General features: G+C 39.6%; 1 protein-coding gene across 5 annotated transcripts in view, besides 1 other annotated feature; it reads right to left on the bottom strand.

Moving 5' to 3' along the window:
- Positions 11,126-11,326: a silencer, noted in NCBI's record as "peak7296 fragment used in MPRA reporter construct". NCBI's record gives its function as "represses an SCP1 promoter by STARR-seq MPRAs in K562 erythroleukemia cells {active_cell/tissue: K562}" and the evidence as "EXISTENCE:reporter gene assay evidence [ECO:0000049][PMID:32103011]".
- Positions 15,137-26,551, bottom strand: part of SLC71A2 (solute carrier family 71 member 2) — an 86,626-nt gene continuing 75,211 nt past the window's right edge. For 4 of the 5 annotated variants that reach the window (XM_017015218.2, NM_032558.3, XM_017015219.3 and 1 more), the window contains 5 exons: positions 24,652-24,723; positions 22,109-22,221; positions 19,842-19,939; positions 17,715-17,857; positions 15,137-17,018 (listed from right to left, as the gene is read on the bottom strand). In XM_017015218.2, the coding sequence (XP_016870707.1) occupies positions 16,767-17,018; positions 17,715-17,857; positions 19,842-19,939; positions 22,109-22,221; positions 24,652-24,723 (678 nt within the window). In that variant the 3' untranslated portion in view covers positions 15,137-16,766. Of the gene's footprint in view, positions 17,019-17,714; positions 17,858-19,841; positions 19,940-22,108; positions 22,222-24,651; positions 24,724-26,551 lie in introns of those variants that run through there. The other variant, XM_047423972.1, reaches the window with a different exon arrangement.

Raw genomic sequence — 26,551 nt, 5'->3', positions numbered from 1 at the left:
AGGCTTGCAGATACTATTTTATAACTTGATTTTAAGCTGAGAGCGACTTAACACTGCTTGCATAAACTAACAAGCAAATAGAAGATGAATGAAGACTCTACACTTTAACTTTGTCCCCCTGCTTTTTAACAACTTTTGCTGTATCTCATGGGTTTTGGAATGTTGTGTTGCCATTTTCATATGGAAACATTTTTAGTTTTAAATTTATTTTTACATTTTCTCAATAAAGTTTTAAATTTCTTTTTAAATTTCTTCATTGACCCATTTGTTATTCAGGAACATGTTGTTTAATTTTCACGTATTTGTACAGTTTCCAAATTCCTCCTGTTACTGATTTCTAGTTTTATTCCACTGTGGTTAGAAAAGATAATTGACACAATTTTGACTTCTAAATTCGTATGGACTTCATTGCACCGTGTTAGCCAGGATGGTCTCAATCTCCTGACCTCGTGATCCGCCTGCCTTGGCCTCCCAAAGTGCTGAGATTACAGGCATGAGCCACCACGCCCAGCCATAGGTATCTAGTTTTATTCCTTTCTAGTCAGAGAAGATGCTTGATATTATTTCAATTTTTTAATTTTTTAAGACTTGTTTTGTGACCTAACATATGGTATATGCTTGAGAATGAGCCATGTGCAGAATAATGTGTATTCTGCACATTCCATTAGGTTAGGTCTATTAATAATTGCTTTATATATTTAGGTGCTCCAATGTTGGATGCATATATATTTATAATTGTTACATCTTCCTGCTGTATTGATCATTTTATATGACCTTTTATATAATGGTCTTTTTTCTCTTTTTACAGTTTTCGGCTTAAAGTCTATCTATGTATTTTGTATTAGTATAGCTACTCTTGCCCTTTTTTGTTTTCGTTTGCATAGAATACCTTTTTCCACCACTTTTCTTTGAGTCTGTGTGTTCTTACAGTTTAAGGGAGTCTCTTATAGGCAGCATATGGTTGGATCTTGTTTTTTTTTAATTTATTCAGCCACTATGTCTGCAGAATACATTTTGAATTAATGAAGAAACAGAATAAAAAGCAAGCCAGATTAGTATGGCTGTATAAAAAATTTAAAACTTGTAATTAAAAACAACACAATATAACAGGATGAAAAGGAAAGCACTAGAATGGAGAAATACTTGAGATAGTTAAAAGTTTAATATTATAGTATGTGAGGACATAGTATGTGAGGACATATTTCTAAGATTATGTCAAGGGAACTTGTTATGTCAATGTGTTGGTTCACACCATTGAAAACAAAACAGCAAAATTATTGAATTATGTAATTTATTGATCATTTTAAAATATAATCTTAAGGCTGTAAATAAATGTCTACTAACTGAACAAAAAATGATTTTAAAATCCTGGCAATGCTGGTGAGAAATAAATATATTGCTTTCATGTTATGTATTTAGTATTCAATCACTTGTAACAGGAGCTATTAAAATGACTACTTTTTTATTCAGTAATCTTACCCTTTGACATTCAAATAATTGAAACAAATAAGAACCTCTGCCAGGCATGGTGGCTCATGCCTGTAATCACAGTACATTGGGAGGCCAAGGCAGATGCATAGCTTGAGTTCAGGAGTTTGAGACCAGCCTGGGCGGCATGGCAAAACACCATCTCCACCAAAAAATACAAAAATTAGTCGGGCAGTGGCACATGTCTGTGGTCCCAGCTACTTGGGAGGCTGAGGGGGGCCGAGATCATGCCACTTTCACTGAGCCACTTTCAGTGAGCCAAGATCGTGCCACTTCACTCCAACCTGGGTGACAGAGTGAGAGCTCATCTCAAAACAAAAACAAAACAAAAAGGAATAAGAACCTCATGTGTAGATCTTTTAAAACAACATAACTGGCAGGGCACAGTGGCTCACACCTGTAATCCCCGTACTTTGGAAGGCCGAGGCGGGTGGATCATCTCAGGTCAGGAGCTTGAGACCAGCCTGGCTAACATGGTAAAACCCCATTTCTACTACAAATACAAAAAATTAGCTGGGTGTGGTGGCACACACCTGTAATCCCAGCTACTTGGGAGGCTGAGGCACGATAACCGCTTGAACCCAGGAGGCAGAGGTTGCAGTGAGCCAAGATCACACCATTGCACTCCAGCTTGGGCAACAAGAGCGAAACTCTATCTCAATAATAATAATAATAATAATTAATATAGCAAAAACAAATAGATTTTAAAAGCTTTGAGGCTGGGCACAGTGGCTTACACCTGTAATCCTAGCACTTTGGGAAGCTGAGGCAGGCGGATCACAAGGTCAGGAGATCGAGACCAACCTGACCAACATGGTGAAACCCCATCTCTACTAAAAATACAAAAAATTATCTGGTGTGGTGGCAGGCGCCTGTAGTCCCTGCTACTCAGGAGGCTCAGGCAGGAGAATAGCTTTAACCTGGGAGGCAGGGGTTGCAGTGAGCTGAGATTGCACCACTGCACTCCAGCCTGGGTGACAGAGCAAGACTCTGTCTCATACAAAAAAAAAAAAAAAAAAAAGTAATTGATAGCTGAGAACAAGCATTTTCAAAGAGAAGAAATTTTCCACCTTGCCCCTTGTGGAACTGAAACTACTCTTTGCACATGCTGCTGCCCTTCCAGCCTGCAGGCAGAATGCTGTTCTTGGCAAAGCAAGAGTCCCTTATTCCTCACCCCATCACTTTCCAACATAACCAGGAAGGTTCAGATGACCATAAGTGAAAAACAACCAGGAAAAGTCAGGAGAATAAAGAGCCTCTCTCATTTTCACTTGGGCAACAGGTGTGAACAAGAAAATTAAGTATTTTTGTTTTATTTTTTAAAATCTTAACTTCTCCTTTTCACCCTTCCTTAGATGTATCTATTTTAACATTTTGCATGTGACGGTGATGTTATCCATGCTGAATAAACTAGAAATGAGAATTGAGTTGTGAGGGAAAAAGAGATTGAAAACATATGCCTTGGATATATGAATTATGTTTGGATACTGAATTGAACCACTGAACTGTAAAAAAATGTTATGAGACAGGGAAACTGAACTGGCTATGTGACAATAGTAAGGAATTATTGCTAACATTTAAAAATGTGATATGGTATTGTGGTTATGTTTAGAAATAAAAATAATCCTTATCTATTAGAGATACATACCAAAGTGTTTATGCATGAAATGATATGATGTCTGGGAATTTTTATAAAACAATCCAAGGCAGGAATGAGGAACAGTTTGGGTGGGAGGGACCGATGAAATAAGATTGGCCATGTGTAGACACATGGTGCTTTGCTTTACTGCACTTTGTGAATATTGCATATTTTACAAATTGAGGGTTCATGGCAACCCTGCATCCAGCAGTGTTGCAGGAAGTCAGTGACTCCGAACGGAGGGACCGGCTGAAGCCATGGCAGAACATAAATTGTGAAGATTTCATGGACATTTATTAGTTCCCCAAATTAGTACTTGTATAATTTCTTATGTCTGTCTTTACTGCAGTCTCTGAACATAAATTGTGAAGATTTCATGGACATTTATCACTTCCCCAATCAATACTCTTATAATTTCCTATGCCTGTCTTTACTTTAATCTCTTAATCCTATCATCTTCGTAAGCTAAGGATGTATGTTGCCTCAGGATCCTGTGATGATTGTATTATCTGCACAAATTGTTTGTAGGGCATGTGTGTTTGAACAATATGAAATCTGGGCATCCAAAAGGAACAGGATGGCTGCAATTTTCAGGGAACAAGGGAGTAAACCATTGGGCCTGACTGCCTGAGGGGCCAGACAGAACAGGGTCATATTTCTCTTCTTACAAAAGTGAATAGGAGAAATATCGCTGAATTCTTTTTCTCAGCAAGGAACAGCCCTGAGAAAGAGAATGCATTCCTAGGGGGAGGTCTCTAAAATGGCCGCTCTGGGAATGTCTGTGTTATATGGTTGAAGATAAGGGATGAAATAAGCCCCGGTCTCCTGTAGCACCCCCAGGCCTATTAGGATTAGGAAATTCCTGCCTAGTAAATTTTAATTAGACCGGTTGTCTGCTCTCAAACCCTGTTTCCTGATAAGGTGTTATCAATGATAATGCATGCCCAGTGGGACATGAAACTTCATCAGCAATTCTAATTTCACCCTGGTCCTGTGATCTCACTCTGCCCCCATTTGCCTTGTGATGTTATTGCCCTTGAAGCATGTGATCTCTGTGAGCCACACCCTATTCGTACACCCCTCCCCTTTTGAAATCCATAATAAAAACTTGCTGGTTTTGCAGCTCGGGGCATCACGGAACCTGCCAACATGTGATGTCTCCCCTGGACACCAAGCTTTAAAATTTCTCTCTTTTGTACTCTTTCCCTTTATTTCTCAGACCGGCCGACACTTAGGGAAAATAGAAAAGAATGTACATTGAAATACTGGGGGCTGGTTCCCCCGATACAGTAATTCTTTTTTTTTTTTTTTTTGAGACATGGTTTCATTTTGTCTCCTAAGCTGGAGGGCAGTGGTGCCATCACAGCTCACTGCAGCCTTGACCTCCCACACTGCAGCTTTTTGATTTAAAGTGAGAGACATACATCTCTTCCTTTTACTCAAACACTTAGAAGCCATTGTAAGGTAATTAATTGGCCTAATTTCAACATCGTTGTATCTGAAAGAATAGGCCCAAAGAGAGGGAGGGACATGGGGGAATAGTCAGTGAGTGAAGCAGTCAGAACACACTCAACACTTACTGACCTCCCAGGTGGAAGCAATCCTCCCACCTCAGCCTCCTAAGTAGCTGGTAGCATTTACCACCAAATTTTTTTTTTTTAGTAGAGAACAGGGTCTCACTGTGTTGCCCAGGTTTGCATTGAATAATTCTGTTGGCACCATTTTTCCAACAGCATGTGCTCACTTCTTGTCTTGGTGTTACATTTTGGTAATCCTTGCAATATTTCAAAGTTTTTCATTAACATTGTATCTGTTATGATGATCTGTGATCAGTGACCTTTGATGTTACTACTGTACTTGTTTTGGGATGCTATCAAGCCGACCTATATATAAGATGGTGAACTTAATCGATAAGTGTTGAGTGCGTTCTGACTGCTCCACCCACTGACTCTTCCCTCATCTCTCTCCCTTCCTTTGGGCCTCTCCATTCTTTCAGATATGACAATATTGATATCAGGCCAATTAATTACCCTGCAATGGCTTCTAAGGGTTTGAGTAAAGGGAAGAGTTGCATGTCTCTCACTTTAAATCAAAAGCTAGAAATGATCGGACCTCTTCAAGGAGAACTACAAACCACTGCTCCATGAAATAAAAGAGGATACAAACAAATGGAAAAACATTCCATACTCATGGGTAGGAAGAATCAATATCGTGAAAATGGCCATACTGCCCAAGGTAAGATTCAATGCCATCCCCATCAAGCTACCAATGACTTTCTTCACAGAATTGGAAAAAACTACTTTAAAGTTCATATGGAACCAAAAAAGAGACCTCATTGCTAAGTCAATCCTAAGCCAAAAGAACAAAGCTGGAGGCATCATGCTACCTGACTTCAAACTGTACTACAAGGCTATAGTAACCAAAAGAGCATGGTACTGGTACCAAAACAGAGATATAGACCAATGGAACACAACAGAGCCCTCAGAAATAATGCCACATATCTACAACCATCTGATCTTTGACAAACTGACAAAAACAAGAAATGGGGAAAGGATCCCCTATTTAATAAATGGTGCTGGGAAAACTGGCTAGCCATATGTAGAAAGCTGAAACTGGATCCCTTCCTTACATCTTATACAAAAATTAATTCAAGATGGATTAAAGACTTAAATGTTAGACCTAAAACCATAAAAAGGTTAAAACCTAAAACCATAAAAAGACCTAAAACCATAAAATGTTAAACATAAAACCCTAGAAGAAAACATAGGCAATACCATTCAGGACATAGGCATGGGCAAGGACTTCATGTCTAAAACACCAAAAGCAATGGCAACAAAAGCCAAAATTGACAAATGGGATCTAATTAAACTAAAGGGCTTCTGCACAGCAAAAGAAACTACCATCAGAGTGAACAGACAACCTACAGAATGGGAGAAAATTTTTGCAATCTACTCATCTGACAAAGGGCTAATATCCAGAATCTACAATGAACTCAAACAAATTTACAAGAAAAAAACCCCATCAAAAAATGGGCAAAGGATATGAACAGACACTTCTCAAAAGAAGACATTTATGCAGCCAAAAGACACATGAAAAAATGCTCATCATCACTGGCCATCAGAGAAATGCAAATCAAAACCACAATGAGATACCATCTCACACCAGTTAGAATGGCGATCATTAAAAAGTCAGGAAACAACAGGTGCTGGAGAGGATGTGGAGAAATAGGAACACTTTTACACTGTTGGTGGGACTGTAAACTAGTTCAACCATTGTGGAAGTCAGTGTGGTGATTCCTCAGGGATCTAGAACTAGAAATACCATTTGACCCAGACATCCCATTACTGGGTATATACCCAAAGGATTATAAATCATGGTGCTTTAAAGACACATGCACACATATGTTTATTGGGGCACTATTCACAATAGCAAAGACTTGGAACCAACCCAAATGTCCAACAACGGTAGACTGGATTAAGAAAATGTGGCACATATACACCATTGAATACTATGCAGCCATAAAAAAGGATGAGTTCATGTCCTTTGTAGGGGCATGGATGAAGCTGGAAACCATCATTCACAGCAAACTATCGCAAGGACAAAAAACCAAACACTGTATGTTCTCACTCATAGGTGGGAATCGAACAATGAGAACACATGGACACAGGAAGGGGAACATCACACACCGGGGCCTGTTGTGGGGTGGGGGGAGGGGGGAGGGATAGCATTAGGAGATATACCTAATGCTAAATGACGAGTTAATGGGTGCAGCACACCAACATGGCACATGTATACGTATGTAACTAACCTGCACGTTGTGCACATGTACCCTAAAACTTAAAGTATAATAAATAAAGCTAAGATAAAAAGCTAGAAATGATTAAGCTTAGTGAGGAAGGCATGTTGAGAGCCATGATGGGCTGAAAGCTAGGGGTCTTGTGCCAAACAGCCAAGTTGTGAAAGTTTTTGAAGAAAATTAAATGTGCTACTTCAGTGAACATGCAAATGTTGAAGTGAAGCAGGCCAGTCTCAGTGGCTCACACCTGTAATCCCAACACTTTGGGAGGCCAAGGCAGGCAGATCATTTGTGGTTAGGAGTTCGAGACCAGCCTGGTCAACATAGTGAAACCCCATCTCTATTAAAACTACAGAATTAGCCAGGCATGGTGGTGCATGCCTGTAGTCCCAGCTACTCGGGATGCTGAGGCAGGAGAATCACTTGAACCCAGGAGTCGGAGGTTTCAGTGAGCCAAGATGGCACCACTGCACTCCAGTCTAAGTGAAAGAGCTAGACTCCATCTCAAAAACAAACAAACAAACAAAAAAGAAAGTGAAACAGGCTTACTGCTGATATGGAGAAAGTTTGAATGGTCTGGATAGAGGATCAAATCAGCTACAACATTCCCTTAAGCCAAATCCTAATTCAGAGCAAGGCCCTAGCTCTCTTCAGTTCTGTGAAGACAGAGAGGTGAGGAAGCTGCAGAAGAGAAGTTGGAAGCTAGCAGAGGTTGATTCAGGATGTTTAAGGAAAGAAGTCATCTCCATAACATAAAAATGCAAGATGAAGCAGCAAGTACTGATGGAGAAGCTGCAGCAAGTTATCCAGAAGATCCAGTTAAGATCATTGATGAAAGTGGCTACACTAACAACAGTTTTTATGCAGATGAAACAACCTTCTATTGGAAGAAGATGCCATCTAGAACTTTTAATAGCCAGGAAGGAGAATTCAAAGCTTCACATGACTGGCTGACTTTGTTAGGGGCTAATGCAACTGGTGACTTTAAGTTGAAGCTAGTGTTCACTTACCATTCTGAAAATTCTAGGGCCCTTGAGAATTATGCTAACTCTCCTCTGCCTGTGCTCAGTAAATGGAACAACAGCCTGGATGACAGCACATCTGTTTACAGCATGGCTTACTGACTATTTTAAGCCTCCTGTCAAGACCTACTTCTCAGAAAAAAATATTTCTTTTAAAATATCATTGGTCATTGACAGTGCACCGTCACCGAAGAGCTCTGATGGAGATGTACAGTAGACGAATGTTGTTTTCATGCCTGCTAACACAGCATCCATTCTGCAGTCCATGGATCAAGGAGTAATTTTGAATTTCAAGTCTTACTATTTAAAAAGTACGTTTCGTAAGGCTATATGGCTGCCATAGGTAGTGATTCCTTCTATGAATATGGGCAAAGTCCATTGAAAACATTCTGGAGGCCGGGCACAGTGTCTCATGCCTGTAATCCCAGCACTTTGGGAGACAGAGGCAGCTGGATCACGAGGTAAGGAGATCAAGAGCATCTTGGCTAACATGGTGAAACCCCGTCTCTACTGAAAATACAAAAAAAATTAGCCGGGCATGGTGGCAGGCGCCTGTAGTCCCAGCTACTCGGGAGGCTGAGGCAGGAGAATGGCGTGAACCTGGGAGGTGATGAGTCGAGATTGTGCCACTGCACTCCAGCCTGGGTGACAGAGCGAGACTCTGTCTCAAAAAAAAAAAAAAAAAAAAAAAAAAAGCCTTCTGGAAAAGATTCACCATTGTAGATGCCATTAAGAAATTTATGATTCATGGGAGAAAGTAAAAATATCAACATTAACAAGAGTTTGGAAGAAGTTGATTCCAGCCCTCATGGGTGACTGGGGAGTTTAAGACTTCAGTGGAAGAAATAACTGCAGATGTGGAAGAAATAGCAAGAGATCTAGAATTAGATGTGGAGCCTAAAGATGTGACTGAATTGCTGCATCATGACAATACTTGATCAGATGAGGAGTTGCTTCTTATGGGTGAGCAAAGGAGGTGGTAATTTACTCCTGGTGAAGAGGGTGTGAATGAACATTGTTGAAATGACAACAAAGGATTTAGAATATTACGTAAACTTAGTTGATAAAGCAGTGGCAGTGTTTGAGAGGAATGACTCTAATTTTGGAATAAGATCTACTGTGGGTAAAATGCTGTCAAACAGCATCACATGCTACAGAGAAATCGTCCGTTAAAGGAAAAGTCAATGTGGCAGACTTCATTTTATTTTTGTAGGACATTTTAGTTATAACATCAATTTCTGTAATAGTTGCAGGACTATTCAGATTGTCTGTTTCATCTTGGTTGAGTTTTGGTAGTTTATAGTTTTTGAGAAATCAGTTTATATTTAATAACCTGTTCAATTTATGAACTTAAAGTTCTTCATAATATTTCCTCATCTTTATAATGGCTGATGAATCTGTAGTAATATCCACTATTTTATTTCTAATATTTATAAGCATTGCCTTCTCTCTCTCTCTTTCTTTCTGTCTCTTTGCCAGTCCTGTTAAGGGTTCATCAATTATATTAGTTTTCAGAAGAAACAGTTTTTGTTTTATTATTTTTCTATTATTTCTCTATTTCAATTGTATTAATTTAGATTTCTATCACATTCTTCCTTCTAGTTGCTTTGAGTCTATTTTGCACTACTTTTTCTAGTATCTTGAGATAGGAACTTAACTAATTTTTTCCTTCTTTTCTATCTAGTCATTTTAGTACTATAAATTTTCCTCTTGGCACTGTTTTAGCTGCATCCCACATATTTTTATATACTGTGTTTTACTGCTCCAGTCTATGTATTTTTTTATTTCACTTGAAACTTTCTTTTTGAGTCATGGATTTCTTAGAAATGTGTTATTTAGTGTCCATATGCTTCGAGATTTTTCTACTGCCTTTTAATCACTGATTTCTAGTTTGATGCCATTGTGATCAGAGAATAAATTCTCTATGATTTCAGTTCACTTGAATATGTTAAGATCTATTTTCTGGCCCAGGATGAGATCTATCTTTGTCAACGTTTCATAGGGGTTTGAAAAACATGTGTATTGGGTGGAGTGTTCTGTGTCAGTTAGATCCTGTTGGTTGATTAAATACCTTTTATGATCTTTTCTGTTTTCTAAGGGTGTTAAAGTTTTCAACTACATTTGTAGATTTTTCTGTTTTTCCCTTAGTTTTAACTGTTTTTGCTTCCTCTTGTGAAGCTCTGATGTTTGGTTTTTACACATTTAGGATTTTTACACATTTCTGGTGGATCAATCATTTTATTATTTTGTGATGTTCCTCTTTGTCTCTAATACTTTTATTTGCCTTAAAGTCTACTTTGTCAGATATTAATATACCCACTCATGCTTTATTATTAATGTTTACATGGCATGTCTTTTCTTCCTTTTACTATCATTATGCCTGTGTTATTGACTTTGACATATATTTTAAGCCTTATGTAATTGAGTAATTTTTTTTTAAGATGGAGTCTTGCTCTGTTGCCCAGGCTGGAGTACAGTGGCGTGATCTTGGCTCACCACAACCTCCGCCTCCTGGGTTCAAGCCATTCTCTTGCCTCAGCCCCCTGAGTAGCTGGGACTACAGGTGCACGGCACCATGCCTGGCTAATTTTTGTATTTTTAGTAGAGACCAGGTTTCACTGTGCTGGCCAGACTGGTTTCGAACTCCTGACCTCATGATCCGCCTGCCTCAGCCTTCCAAACTGCTAGGATTACAGGTGTGAGCCACTGTGACCAGCCCAAATAATGCTTTTAATATATTCTGCCTCTCTTTGACTTTTGAGTGGCATATGTAGACTGTTTATATTTAAGATAATTATTGATATGTTAGTGCTTTGTCTGGCACTTTATTACGTTTTCTCGGGTTCTCATTCCTCTTTTACTGCTTTTCTTGCCTTCCTAGGGGTTATTTTCTTTTTTAATTCTATCTCCATTTTTTATAGTATATTCTAATGTGTTTCTTTGTATAGTTTTCAAAGTGATCGTTCTGGGCATTACAATAAAGGTATGACTTGTAACAGCCTACTGATACATTTGTTTTCTACTGCTACTATAGCAAATTGCCACAAACTTGGTGGCTTAAAACAACAGAAATTTCTACTCTCAGTTCTGGAAACCAGACGCCCACATCAAGTTTGCTAGGCCAACATCAAGTTGTGGGCAGGGCTAGAATCACTTCAAAAGCTCTGGGAAACAATTCTTTCCTTCCCTCTTCTGGCTTAGGGCAGCTGCTGGCATTCCTTGCCTTGTGGCCACATCAGTCTACTCTCCCATTCAGAGTCACGTGGCCATCTCCTCTGTCTGAAATCTCTGTCTGCCTCTCTCATGTATGGATACTAGTGATGGCATTTAGGGCCCACCTAGATAATTCAGGACAATCTCCCACATATAGATACTTAATTACACTTGCAAAATCTCTGCTCTAAAAAGTAAGATTCATAGATTGGAGGGATGAATGTGGGGACCTGAGTGACGCCATTATTCATCCCACTACAACTAATATCAACATTCACCACTTAGAGCGAAGTGTGGAAACCTCACTTGCATTTAAGACCCTTTTCCCTTTCAACTATTAAAGATAATTGTCTGAAGTACCAGAAGGTGTTCTAATTGTTGTTTCAGTCCTTAAGATTTACAGAACTCATGGTGAACAAAATAATCCATTTTATATTTCCGTATTTCTGCCCTATGCAGTGTTCCTTCTTCCTTCTGGATACTCTATGCTTCCTTTTGTTATCATTTCTCTTGTTTTTGAAGAATGTCCTTGAGCCAATCATTAATGGTAGGTCTACTATCCACTCTTAATTTGTAACAACAAATTCTTTGCCTGATAATTTTTTTTAAGTTTCATTTATTTGTGAAAGATAGATTCACTGAACATAGAATTTGTGGTTGACAGTTCTTCCTTCTGGCCTCTATGATCCCAAATAAGAAAATCATTGTTATTCAAGTAGGTGTTTCTCTGTAGGTTCCAGAATTATCTTTTGTTTCTTTTTGGTTGTTTTAAAAATTTTTTTCTGTCTTTAGTTTTTAAAAGTTTGATTAGATGTGTCTTGGAGTGGACTTGTTTGGGTTTATTTTTGAGAGGTTGACTTAGATTTTTTGGTCTATAAATTCATGAGTTTGCCAAATCTTGGAAGTTTTCAGCAATTACTTTTTAAAATAATTTCAACACCATCATCTAACTCATGTCTTTCTGAAATTCTAATGATACAAAAGTTGGACCTTTATTTTTTATCCCACAGGCCTCTGAAGCTTTGTTCATTTTACATTTTTAGTCTGTTTTCTCTCTGTTTTTCTGTGTAGGGGAATTCTGTTGATTTTGCTTATTTCAATTCTAATATTAAGCAAGTCTAGCAATGTTTGGTTTTCACTTTTTTTTTTTTTTTGGAGATGAAGTCTCACTCTGTCACCAGGCTGGAGTGCAGTGGCGCAATCTTGGCTCACTACAACCTCCACCTCCTGGATTCAAGCAATTCTCCTGCCTCAACCTCCCAAGTAGCTGGGACTACAGGCGCCCGCCACCATGCCTAGCTAATGATGTTTTTTGTATTTTCAGTAGAGAAGGGTTTTCACCATGTTGGCCAGGATGGCCTCGATCTCCTGACCTCATGATCCGCCTGCCTGGGCCTCCCAAAGTGTTGGGATTACAGGCATGAGCCACAGTGCCCGGCGAGTTTTCACTTCTATTATTGTATTTTTAGTTCCATAATTTCATTTCAGTTCATGTTTTATAACCTTTATTTCTTTGCTGAGATTTATAATTTTGTTTTCATTTGATTGCAGAAAATTTGTAAATGATCACTAAAGCATTTTAAAAAGATGTCTGCTTTAAAATCCTTTTCAGATGGATCCAACCTCTGATTCATTTCAGTTGGGGTCAGTTGATTGTCTTTCCTCATTCAAGCCATGATTTTCTTGGCTCTTGGTGTGATGATTGTATCCTGGCCCTTTTGTCTGTCATGTTATGTAATGCTAGGTGCTATTTACATCTTTGATAATTTTAGCGAGCAAGCACCTTGTTTGGGGTTGGCATGTGGGCCTTAGCCTATTTTGTGGGTGGGGGAGGAGGTTTCAATGATAGTTTGATTATTGGAGCCTTTAATGTTTTGCTTTGACATCCTCAGTGGATTTAGTGCCAAAGGAGGTTCCCACTGCTCTCTGCTGGTGCTAGCTGAGGGTGCAGAAGGGTTTACCAGGCTTCTGGTGTGTGGGGTGGGGGTGGGCTGGGGGAGATGTTGGTGAGGTGGGGTTGGAAGGATCCCTCTTCCCAGTGTCCCCTCACCTATTCTACCCCCTCTGCCTCTGTGTCTGGGATGAGGGGACTCTCCATCTCAAACCTGCAGGGACAAAGAGCCTTCTTTGGTCAGGTCACTAATGTAGCTGCACCTCTTTTGCAGGTTCTGCCTTTTTAGCTATTTTTCCTTTGAAAAGGCAGTCCTAGGCCCACAAGGAATATGGAGCCTTCCCTGGTCGCTTATTGTTGGTGTGGCTCCTGTATCCATCCCCTTTGCTGGTGGTGCAGCCTGTCTGGTAGTCAGAAGAGTACCAGTTCCATCTGGAGAAGGAATGGGCAGGGGTGGCAAACAGCAGGTCTGAGTGGCCTTCTGTTTGTGGGAGCCCACAAGTAAGTCACCCTATGCTCTGCTGTTTCTCTGGTTCTGGATCCCAAGAGGCAAGAAATTCCCAGAGTTCTCTGGTCCATAGAGGATGACCTTAGATAAAGAATTGTTGGCTGGGCGCAGTGGCTCACACCTGTAGTCCCAGCACTTTGAGAAGCCAATGCTGGTGGATCACTTGAGGTCAGGTGTTGAAGACCAGCCTGGCCCACATGTCGAAACCCGATCTGTACTAAAAATACAAAAAAAAAAGTTAGCCGGGCATAGCGGCATGTGCCTGTAATCTCCAGTTACTTGGGAGGCTGAGGCAGGAGAATTGCTTGAACCCAGGAGGTGGAGGTTGCAGTGAGCCAAGATTGCGCCACTGCACTCCAGACTGGGCGACAGAGCAAGACTCTGTCTCAAAAAAAAAATAAAAAATAATAAATAATAAAAAATAAATAGTTTAAGGATGGGATGGAAGTAAAGACACACCCCTCCATTTCACAGTAGACACTAATAGAAATAAACAACATGAAATATACAATTCCTGTTTGAGAAAAATGTCAGAACACTATATATTAAAAGTAAACCTTAACAAATGGATAGACAGCATAATCCTGGATAGCAAGACTCAGCATCACAGAGATGTCCATTCACTGGACAAAAATAAGTGTAAAATACCAAGCATAATAAGATAGATGTTCAGCACATACATTGGCCCTTACACTCTCACAGTTAAGAGAATACCATCTTCTCAAGCACATGGGGAACATTCATAAAACTACCATTATCAAAAAACCATTACCATCCCAGAACTTTTCTTACCTTGCAAAATGAAACTTTGTACCCATTAAATAACAGCTTCCTACTTCTCCCTCCCCCAGCCCGTGGTGAGCACTACTCTGCTTTCTGAACGTTAACTACTCTAGGCACATCATTAAGTGGCACCATATAGTATTTGTCTTTTTGTGATTGTCTTGTTTCACTTAGCATAATGTGTTAAATGCTCATCCATTTTGTATCGTGTCAGAATTTCCTTCCTTTTTAAAGCTGAATAATAGTCTGCTGTATGGATATACCTATTTTGCTTATCTATTCATCATCGGTCAATGGCCACTTAGGTTTTTTTCCATCTTTTGGCTGTTATGAATGCTATGAACGTGGATATACGCGTTTTTGTTCTGTCCCTGCTTTTTAAAAATAAAAATACAGATGGTCTCCAACTTCATGACAGTATAAAAGCGATACCCATTTAGTAGAAACCATACTTCAAATTTTGATTTTTTTTCCCAGGCTGGCGATATGTGGTATGATACTCTCTCGTGACATTGAGCAGTGGCAAGTGAGCTGCAGCTCCCAATCACTATGCACTCAGGAGGGTAAACAACCAACCAATACTCTACTGTGCTGATACCGAAAGTGCTGAAGCTTCTAAGCTGTGTTAATAATGCATTTGCAATGTATGATATTTTCAACTTACAATGGGCTTATCAGGATGGAACCCCATCGGTAAGTCAAGGAGCATCTGTAGTTACGATGTTTTTTTCAAGGAGCATCTGTAGTTACGATGTTTTTGAAGGGAGACTTTGAAGGAATTTTGTTAAAAATAAAATTTTTTTGAAAATACATACCTTTTGCATCAGCTGAAAGATTACAACTCAGTTTAATTGAAAGCCACCCAACAGAGAACCCAAAAGAGCAATACTATTTGCTTTAAAAAAAAGACACAAGACATAAAAGTAACCACTGTAAATTTATTATGCATTAGGAAGCTTAACCTAAAAACCAATAGCATAGTAAAAAGATATGTTATCTCTGTTCATAGCAGAACAGGTTTCAAAATATATTTTCTTTTAAATGTATTCAGTCAGTACACAATCCTTTATAAAAGTTGTATATATTTTTTTCTGTCAATACCTTCATTACATTTATAAATACAAGATTTACACAGCACCCCATCAAAAAAAAAAAATTAAAACCCTTTACAAATATCTACATATATTTCATACCTATAAAACTTTCAAAGGGGTGCTCTGTTAAAGGTGGGCCCTAGTTAATGGTCCATTTACTGGTGCAGCAAAATACATATAAATCTGTAAAGTTTTCTTTGTCCATAAAACATCTCAAAAAATAGCAAGACACTTATCGTGAAACTCAGCTTCATAAAACCTTATTTTAGAAAGGAACTTAATGTGCGTATTCCCATGCGATTCAAAAGTTAAACAGATTGAAATAAAGATGAATTGAAAACAAATGCATACTCAGAGCAGTTAAGGCAGGAGTGTGATGGATGAGAAAAACTTTGAGAAGCAGGACATGGAAGACATGGGAAGAAGCAAATCATAATAATGCCTTTGAGTCTGAACTTGGATATAAACTTCACTCGTATCCAGTTACTAACTCTCATCCTACTTAGGAATTTCCAAATTGTTAATAACTTTCTTAGAAGCAGCCTACAATCTCTATGTTGCCACCAGAATGCTTGAGTTGTTTTTTTCTTCTGTAAAATCACCTTGGACCCAACCAGGACACCAGGTCCAGGAATCTGAGTTGTTGAGTTTTACATGATTTAAGTTTGTAATGAAAATTTCTTTCATCTAGTAAAGGTAATTACTATTCAATATTATTATGTCCAGAAGTGTATATATGCTGAGTTTCATTCTAGCTAAGAATAGAAAGTAGAATAAAAGGAGACTAGGTTTTTATTTGACCTTTGAACAAAGACAGTAGATCCCTGATACTGAGTGACTCTTTAAGAGTGGCCACTCATCAACACCTATGGGCTGATTCAGAGAAACAGGAAGGTAGAAATTAAGAAGAGATTCTTTACCTGAAATCTTGCCAGAGATGGCAGTCCCGCTACTGTTCTGTGCCTTCTGCTGAAAAGGGCATGGAAAGATTGCTGCCACTCTTACTCTATAGTCATTACAGGAAAGCCATCCTTTCTACCAGAGAGATGACTTTTTCTATTTGAGTTTCACCTTGGGAGTTGCACATTATTTGCAAGGAAGTATTTCAAATCTTATCTTGTTCTAATGTATAAACAGGAAAAAAAAAAAGAATGTAAGAGAAAAAAAAAAAACAGGAGGAGGATGAGCAGAATGATGGCGGTGGTATTTATCAAACTTGGCCCTGAAGGATGCCGCTAGCGTCTCCCATCCAGCACCATGAAGTCACCAGGGGTGTGGCTCCCTCCATGGCTCTCAGAGATGGCGTATGCAGAATCCCACTTTCTGCCGAGTTTACAGCTCAGTGCACTGATTCCCAGGCTCCTCAAATGAAGAGAGCTCCCAGATGCTGCTGTCTTGCAGTAGTGGCTCAATGTCCTCATCACTGCCCCGTTCTGGGGTGTTGGTCAGGCTGCCGCTGCTGCTGTTACTGTGTTTTTGAACTCCACTGGCTTTACTGTATTCAGGAATGAATAAGGCAACCAGAAAAGACATAAGGACTATACATGCCCCAAATAAAAACGGCGGGCCTGGGATGACAGCTCCCTGTTGAACGTGGAAAACAAGTGGAGACAAAGAATACAGTTAGTCTTTTAACTCAAAATTATTCCTAGATTACCCAAAAAAAACACACCACCAAAAAGTGAATCATATTCTCATAAGCAAATGTTTCATTAAATGTCAAGGCAAACTCCACTAGAGCTTGGTGTTTGGAATATGACAAAGGGCAACTAATTAACTGCTTTTTGTACCACTTCCAAATAGCTTAAGCAAAACTGTAAGCTTGTAAGCAACAGCTGTTTACCTATAATCCCATCCTATGACTTCAGATCATGCACCTTTGTACATGAACATTAATTCCAGCTTTGTATAGATATGGCTTAGAGGGAACAAGGGAAGAAATTTCAAATAAATAGTACAAAAAGTACCCTACCTCAATTTTTAGCTGGATTTTTAGGTCATTTCAAATTTTAACTAGCCTGGGCTTATCCAGAGAATAGTGTAGTGATTGTGTAGGTGAAAACAGAATCTGAACAAAGTTAAGACATATCTTTTACATAAGATATTAAATCACTAAAATGACCCCTCCCTGATCCCGAGAAGCAATGAACACAATACTTATTGCTGCCAAATAAAATATAGTAACATACAAGAAAGAATGCTCTCCAAATTTAAGGTCACAAGATTTTGCTATAATCATACATAATTGTTGTTACAAAACTAGACTTATGACCAAATTACCTGCAGGGGAACGTTGTTAGAATTCAATTTCGGGCCCAACTCAGTCAGTTCCACATGGAACATGTAGAATATGAAGCCATACAGTGCTGGCCCCAGGCCATTGCATAGTCCTCTTATTCCAGTTATGATCCCCTGGGCAACTCCTAAATCAGAACAAAGAAAATAATGCCAGTCTTCTCAGAAAGGCATCTCAAGATTTGGAGCTGCACAGTACTTTCTCATAACCATGATACACTAATTCGGCAAGACTGAGGAAAAGAGAAAGCATGCTAATGAAAGTAGATTAGGAAGACTTTATCCATTATAAAATAAAATCCAAAACTAATAAAACCATATAAAACATATAAAATCATAAAAACATATACAATCCAAAACTTTAATATCTTCCCATTTCAGGCAATGTCCACTTTTCTGTCAACTGAGATTTCCCTGCTCTGGTCATTTACTGGTGCTTTCACAACAAAAACTTGCCCTTCACCTCTGGCAGCCCTGGTGTCAGGAATACAGACCAGTCCCCAGTAGGCAGACTTCATCTTCACAGGTGTATTCCAGCCTATCTCCCTAGAGACCTACACTGAAAAACCCAGAAGTGCCAAATTCCTAAATATCTCTGCTTTCTAACATAGCAAGTAAAAAGTTAGCTTGAACTGTATGAAATGAATGTTTCTGTAAATCAAAAATGGTAGTATATAATTCAGCCTAATACAATGTGTTCCAAAACTTTTATATGCTGACATTCAGAAACATGTATATTGACATGAATAAGTATAAAAAGTCAAAAGAAAATCCATGCCCCAAATGACAGGACGGTGTCTGTCAGATGCCAAGGCAGTGACAGTCCTCCACGGATGGGTCATCACATCTTCACTTCAGACACAGCACCTCCCTAAGGATGCAAACCAACTGAGTTACTGTAGCCAGGAGTGACATACAGAATGTGTGGTCTTCAAGGGACAATATTTAACAATGAATCTGAGTAAGATACCTAACTTCTGATATAGAAAAAAAAAATGCAATGAATAAACCATCCTTTCCAATATAGTTTTTTACTAAAACTTTTAAAAAAAAGGGCTCTTAGGCATTAAAAAATTTTTCTCCCTCTAAAATTGTCTACTTCTTCCTGAATACAATAAGGTGAGCCATTAGGAGATAGAGAAGGAAAGAGATTAAATCTAGCCATGGGAACTGCTTGAAAGGAAAGCAGTCCAGGCATGGGGGCTCACACCTGTAATCTCAGCACTTTGAGAGGCCGAGGCAGGCAGACTGAACCCAGGAGTTCGAGACCAGGCTGGGCAACATGGCGAAACCCCATCTCCACTAAAAATACAAAAAATTAGCTGGGCATGGTAGTGTGCGTCTCTAGTCCCTGGTACTTGGGAGGGTGACTGGGAGATCACTTGAGCCCAGGAGACGGAGGCTGCAGGGAGCCAAGATTGTACCACTACACTCCAGCCTGGGTGACAGTGAGACCCTGTAAGGGGTAGGAGGTGGGGGGTGGGGGGAGGAAGGGTGGGAAAAGAGGGAAGAAGGGATGGAGGGAGGACAAGACAGGACAGGAAGGGAAGCAGAGGCATGGGAAGGATGGGATATGGATCTAGATGGTAGAATGCTATTTTCCACATAGCAGTCTTAATTTTAATTTCATCTCTCACTCAACATCTATCAACAACCACACAGACTTTTTCTTACTACTCTCAAACTATTTTCTAAATTAAGCTCAAAGACTTTGAGTTATTCCAAATAATTAGTGAATAAAGTAATTAAGTAACTCGTGGTTAACTGGTTTTTCATTATTTAATAGACATCTGTTAAAATGTGATTATAGTCTGCTTAATTGTGACACTAAAGAAGAAAAGATGTATCAAAACTGAAAAGGGAAAATGAATAGTTCTATTTCTAATTGTTAGCAATCTGAACTGCTAAGTCTAGCTTTAAAAAATATAAGTGTAAGATCAAAGCAGAGAGGAAAATAGAATGTTCCTATCTGCCAAAGTAAATAGGTATGATAAAAGGGGCCATATGGCTGTCGGCTCCTGCTGTTGATGGGGAGAACTCAGAGCTGCTCCTGCTTCTAGCAGGGAGGTCTCCCGTTGAAGGAGAAAAACAAGTGGGGGGCAGTGACCTCACCTTGCTGATCTGACTCTGCATTCCGAGAGACGAGGGCACTGATTGCCGGAAACGTGATGCTGGACATGGCAGCCACGGTCCCTGCTGCCCACATCATCCTGCAATGACAGGACAGGCACAGTCAGGCAGCAGGTCAACCTCAAGGAGCTCACTATTCGGAATGCAATCAGTGGCAAAAGTACAAATGCCTTGTTTTCTCCTGTTACATTTTATTTATTTTTTCCTCTTTAAAAATGCATTTTTTTTTTAACCTACAAGGTTACATGTGACACTGGAGGAAACGAATGGCCTAGGATGGGGACAGAAGGGCCAGGAAACCTTTGTGTCTTGATTTTACTTCTTTTACAAACTTTTCTTCTCCCTGGTCTCCCTACTGCTATCTTTAGACATAAGCTCAATGAAGTTCGCAAGGAGATTTCTTTTGTTGCTATAAATACCACATTTTCTCCACTGACCTTTCATTTTTTCTTTGTACCTCTTGAAGGCTCACTTTCACACTGCCCTCGAGCTACAGCTTGCTACCCCTCAACAGAGAGAGCATGGTGTGCCCCCAACTGGAAAAACAGACCTGCCTTCCTCTTTAGACCTTTGTCCTCCTCTCAATAAGAGTCTTAACTATGTATCAGTATGAAGTGTGAGTGAGTAAAGTGAGGCCCCAACTTTGGGATGGTCATTACTGAAAAAGAAAAACCTCACATGATGACAAAGTCTTTTTAACACTACATGAATGTGACTAAATCAGCTACTGAACCAAAGTTCACAGGAGCAAAATCAAAAAGAACAAGGAGAATCAAGCAAGTTAATCTGGTAAAAAGTCACAGACGGCTAGGGACAGTGGCTCATGACTGTAATCCTAGCACTTTGGGAGGCCAAGGCAGGAGGATTGCTTGGGCCCAGGAGTTCAAGACCAGCATGGGCAACATGAGACCTTGTCTTTACAAAAAAAAAAAAAAAAAAAATCAGAATATTAGCCAGGCATGGTGTAAAAAAAAAATCAAAATATTAGCCAGGCGTGGTGGTGCGTGTACATACTCCCAGCTACTCAGGAAGCTGAGATGGGAGGATCGCTTGAGGCTGGCAGCAAGGCTGTAATAGTAAGCCATGATTGTGCCACTGTACTCTGGCCTAGGCAACACAGCCAGACCCTCTCTCTCTCAAAAAAAAAAAAAAAAAAAAAAAAAGGAAAGAGCAAGCGGATCAAATGAAATTCCAAAATTCAGAAGGGGCATATGTACTTACTCCCCAAACTAAACATGATAACTAAGGCAATTCTAGTTTCTCTAAATTATGTTGTCTGTTTGTGTCCAAAGTAAGGACCAGCTCTACCGTCTAAAATGGAGAAGGCATTTCTGCATCTGCCCACCAGGCACATGGAGAAACCTGCCACATTAACAAAACAAAACTCACGATTCCTTCTAATTTTTCTTATTCCACTGAGCTTATTTGGACCTTCCTTCCTGTTTATGGGGGAATCTAATATGGTAGTAATAACTGCGGCAGAATGCACATGGTTTTGGAAGAAATTTTAGTGTTCAAACTCAAATGATTTATCAAGGTTATGTTACTGATAGGTAATGATAAGTCATAGTGAAGCTTGCCATAATCAGTCATTTTTTTTGTATCTTCTTGTTTTGCTTTTGACTATATTCAATGTCTCTAAAAATTAGCATATGTGGCCAGGTGCGGTGGCTCACGCCTGTAATCCCAGCACTTTGGGAGGCCGAGGCAGGCAGATCACAAGGTCAGGAGTTTGAGACCAGCCTGGCCAACATGGTGAAACCCATCTCTACTAAAAATACAAAAATTAGCCGGGCGTGTGGTGAATGCCTGTAATCCTAGCTACTCAGGAGCCTGAGGCAGGAGAACTGCTTGAATCCGGGTGGTAGAGGTTGCAGTGAGCTGAGATCATGCCACTGTACTCCAGCCTGGGCAACAGAGTGAGACTCCGTCTCAGGGAAAGAAAAAAAAATTGGCATATGCTTTAAAAAGTAGACATAAAACTTTATTTGGGGGCTGGAGGGAAGAGAGAGATACATTCAATTAAGGAACAATTCCGTGAAAGTCCAATGACATAAAGGTAGTCTTTATAAATAATCCTGTTATCTAGCTCCACATTTCCCCAAATTAAAGCCTAATGGTTTCTGCAATGTTGAATACACCAAACCAGCAAAATAACCCTTGCTTCCTTCTCATCACACCCAACCACCCCAAGCTCCTCTAAGAGGCATCTGTCTGGCAGTTCACGAGAATCTAAGAGTGAGGCTTACCAGGCCTGTGATCCAAAACCGTACCAGGCTAACTGGAGCATCTGGAAGCCCAAGCCAAGGAGGACAGTATTCTTATTTCCTAATGATCTCATCAAGATGCTAAGAAAGGCCGTCTGCAAAGTAAAGGAGACAACTCTGAAAAACCACATCAACACACAGAATTAAAATACAAGCTCTGTGTGTGAAGACCCTTCCCTGATGACCAGAGACCTCTAAGGGCACACTGCCTGACCTGCAACCTCAGAGTCTGGACAGTACTGATGACCTTCTACAGGGGTGGAGTGTTGGGGGCTCCCAGCCTGACCTGGGGCTCAATGCTTTCAGCCTCCTCCCTAAGAAGCCTGTCTACCTGGTGCTCTGCTGGCACTTCCTGAAAGGATATCACAACTGTTCACCAGTTACCATGACTGAGAGGGACAGCCTCAGTCTCTGGAGAAATACTAATCACTTAAATATCTGTGAATAGCAAACTCCTGCTGAACATTTACAGAATATGAGAGCTTCTGCTGGAAGTTTACAAAGTTGGAATTGGGATGTAAGTTTGATTTTAACAAATATATACTCTGCTAAATATAACTAGTTGAGAAAGTCTAAAAAGGGGTTGGATGAAAGATGACTGGGCTGGCCGGGTGTGGTGGCTCATGCCTGTAATCCCAGCACTTTGGGAGGCCGAGGCAAGCAGATCACAAGGTCAGGAGTTCGAGACCAGCCTGGCCAGCAGGGTGAAACCCTGTCGCTACTAAAAATACAAAAATTAGCCAGGCATAGTGGTGCACACTTGTAGTCCCAGCTATTTGGGAGGCTGAGGCAGTAGAATCACTTGAACCCGAGAGGCAGAGGTTGCAGTGAGCCGAAATCATACCACTGCACTCCAGCCTGGGTGACAGAGCGAGACTCCGTGTCAAAAAAAAAAAAAAAAAAAGATGGCTGAGTTTATGTTTGATTTTGTAAAAAACCAAAATGATCAACTTGAAAGGTTAACATAATTTACATTTGCAACACATTTCAACAAAAACAAAAATATAAACGGCCTTTGTTTTGATGCATTCCCATAAGCCTTGTCAAATGTAGTAGTTTTGCGGCCTTCTCATTTCTCCTTGAGAGAGGTTACCACAGAAGAATGCTCTGCTTTCCTGGTAACCATTTCAGGGAAAACAACCCCTAGGCAGTACCATAAAATATAGTGAGTGTGCCTTGGCACAACAGTGAATTAATTTAAGGACAATATGCTTCATCTTTTCTGGTACTGTATTTACAATAGATAGGGAAATGGTTAATGCTCTCTACTCACTGAAAATCATTTATCAATACCTATATATAATAGATATTTATATATAATATCTATTATATATATATGAATATATATGAATATATGAATATATATGAATATATGAATATATATGAATATATATGAATATATATGAATATATATATGAAAATATATATATATATATATTCTCCCTCTCTCTTTTTTGAGATGGAGTCTCACTCTGTCACCTAGGCTGGAGTGCAGTGGCGCAATCTCGGCTCCCAGCAACCTCCACTTCCCAGGTTCAAGCGATTCTCCTGCCTCAGCCTCCTGAGTAGCTGGAATTACAAGCACATGCCACCACACCCAGCTGATTTTTGTATTTTTAGTAGAGACAGGGTTTCGCCATATTGGCCAAGCTGGTCTGGAACGCCTGACCTCAGGTGATCCACCTGCCTTGGCCTCCCAAAGTGCTGGGATTACAGGTGTGAGCCACCGTGTCTGGCCCTCACTGAATATGTTTTAATGCTCTGATTCATATTTCTTCAGTCCTGGGAACAGTCGGAGTTAAAGCAGTTACAGATTTTCATTTCTGCTTTTCATTTCTACTTACTTTTCAACATTAAAATAACACTGAACCATTTTCCTAGTTGATTTTGCAATCCAGAGATAGATTATAATTATTTACTATTTTGGTTGGTGTAAAAGCAAATAAAATAATTGACCCAGCAGAGGTTACGACAAATATTCTAAAAAGTAGGGAAAGTTGTATCAAAGTTCTCCTAAATCATCTTTTCTGAGAAAACACTAAATGGCAGATGATGCTGGTGCAAGGGGAGCACCAGAGGCCCCCAGGGGCCTGGGATGGGGAACCACTGTGGCTTCCGAGGAGACTTAGGCAGTGGCATCGGGGCCAGGGCCCCTGAGCTGAGGAGGCAAGGCTGAAGACAAGAGTGGATGCCAGTCACCAGGCTGGGCTGCCTGGTCAAGGATATAATTTTAAAAACATTGTTTTAAATAAAAACATAAAAAATTTCCCCTAAATTACAACCTCAAAAAAGAAAATAACCTCTACACATTATATAAGAAGGAATAGTTCTGTGGACCACATTCACATCAGTTTCTTGATCTGATATTATACTATAGCTTGCAAGACCTTACCATAGCAGGGGGTGAGGGACTGAGGTAGCAGCTCAGGGAATATCTTCCTGCATTTTTATATGTGGCTTCCTGTGAAACTATGGTTATCAGGATATTTTTTAAATTTTTTAAGTATAGATAAAATGATACTCACCTGAGCCACAATAGACAGAATTCCTACCATAGCTATGAATGCTGCAATTTTAACAGATCCAAAACCTATGACCTATGGAAATGAAATGAAAACACTTTAGTAATATAGATATTATAAAATAATAAGAAATATTATGTTCTATTACAATGATAAGTCTAGGAAAATTCATAAAACCAGTGGCAAATTAAGACATGCTGAAAGCTGAACCTATATAACCAGTAATTTATATCTAAAACTGATGTAAGAAATCGTTATAAGCAGGCACAACTTAAATTGTGAAATGTTTTATAGACATTTTCTATTATATGTCTACCTGTTGTTTTATATACCCTCTCCATCCCCAACCCACAAGTTGATAAATATGGTATCAAGTAATAAAAAATGAAACAAAATGACTGACTTTTGATGCTGCCAATACAGCATTGCTCATTAGCAAAGCCAGTGGCTCTCAACTTTGCCTGCACATTAAAATCATGATGTAAGCAAAAGACAAGGGATAAGGAGAGCAAGGGAAGGAGAGCAGTGAGATGCTGGAAGACCACTGGAGACCAGTTAAATCAGGCTCTCTGGCGGTATGACCCGGGCACAGGTATGTTTTAAAAGCTCCCATGGTGATTCTAATAAGCAGCCAAAGTAACCTGGCAATGATTTCTAAGCCTCTGACCGTAACAGTATCTCCGAAATGTCTACAACTTTTAAGACTTAAATATCAAGTTTTTTAAAAGTTACGTTATTTTGGGGCTAGGTGCAGTGGCTCACGCCTGTAATCCCAGCACTTTGGGAGGCCAAGGCAGGCGGATCATCAGGTCAGCAGTTCGAGACCAGCCTGACCAACATGGCGACACCCCGTCTCTACTAAAAATACAAAAAATTAGCTGGACGTGGTGGCGTGTGCCTGTAATCCCAGCTACTCAGGAGGCTGAGGCAGGAGACTAGCTTGAACCTGGAATGTAGAGGTTGCAGTGAGCCAAGATTGTGCCACTGTATTCCAGCCTGGGCGACAAAGTGAGACTCCATCTCAAAAAAAAAAAAAAGTTACATTATTTTGCCCTATATTAAAATTCAGGAAAAGGACCTTAAAAATTATGGGATTAAATTATATACATTATTCTCATTTCACAAATGAGTGTCTTGCTTCCAGGGACACAACTGGCTAATGAAAAGTCCTAGGGCTAGAACCTCTGGACAGCCAATCCAGTGCTGCTGACATTAACATTTTGTTTGAAGTTTTAAAAACTGGAACCGGAAAATGTAGATTTAGGGATTCTCAGCCTTTATTTGTAAATATATATTATTGTTAAAGAGCTTTATTAAGATAGAATTTAAATACCATACAATTCACCCATTTAAGTGTGTAGGTCAATGGTTTTAGTATATCCAAAGAGTTGTGCAACCATCAGCACAATCAAAAGTGATTTTCATCATTCCTCAAAGAAACGTAGCAGCCATTAGGAGTTCTACTCCCCTAACCTTCCCATCCCCCAACCGTTAGTCTACTTCCTGTCCCTATGGATTTGCCTATTCTGGGCATTTCACATAAATGAAATCATACAATGTGCAGTACTTTGTGACTGGCTTCTTTCTCTGAGCATGTCGTCAAGGTTCACCTATGTTGTAGCACGTATCTGTACTTCATTGCTTTTTACTGCTGAATAATTAACATTCTAATGTATAGGCATATTTGTTAATCCATTCATTAGCTGATAGACATTTGAGTTGATTCTACTTTCTAGACATTATGAATGATAATCTGTGTACAAGTTTCTGTGTTAGAAGTGTGTTTTCATGTCTCATGGGTATATATACCTAGGAGTATATTTGCTGAGTCATATGGTAACTATATGTTGAATATTTTGGGGAACTGCCAGGCTGTTTTCTTACAGCAGCTGTACCATTTTAC

The sequence above is a fragment of the Homo sapiens genome, chromosome 9 (assembly GCF_000001405.40).
Source record: "Homo sapiens chromosome 9, GRCh38.p14 Primary Assembly".
In the NCBI taxonomy this organism is placed as follows: Eukaryota; Metazoa; Chordata; class Mammalia; order Primates; family Hominidae; genus Homo; species Homo sapiens.
Note: the sequence above shows the minus strand (reverse complement) of the source record. Positions and strands in the feature narration are given on the sequence as shown.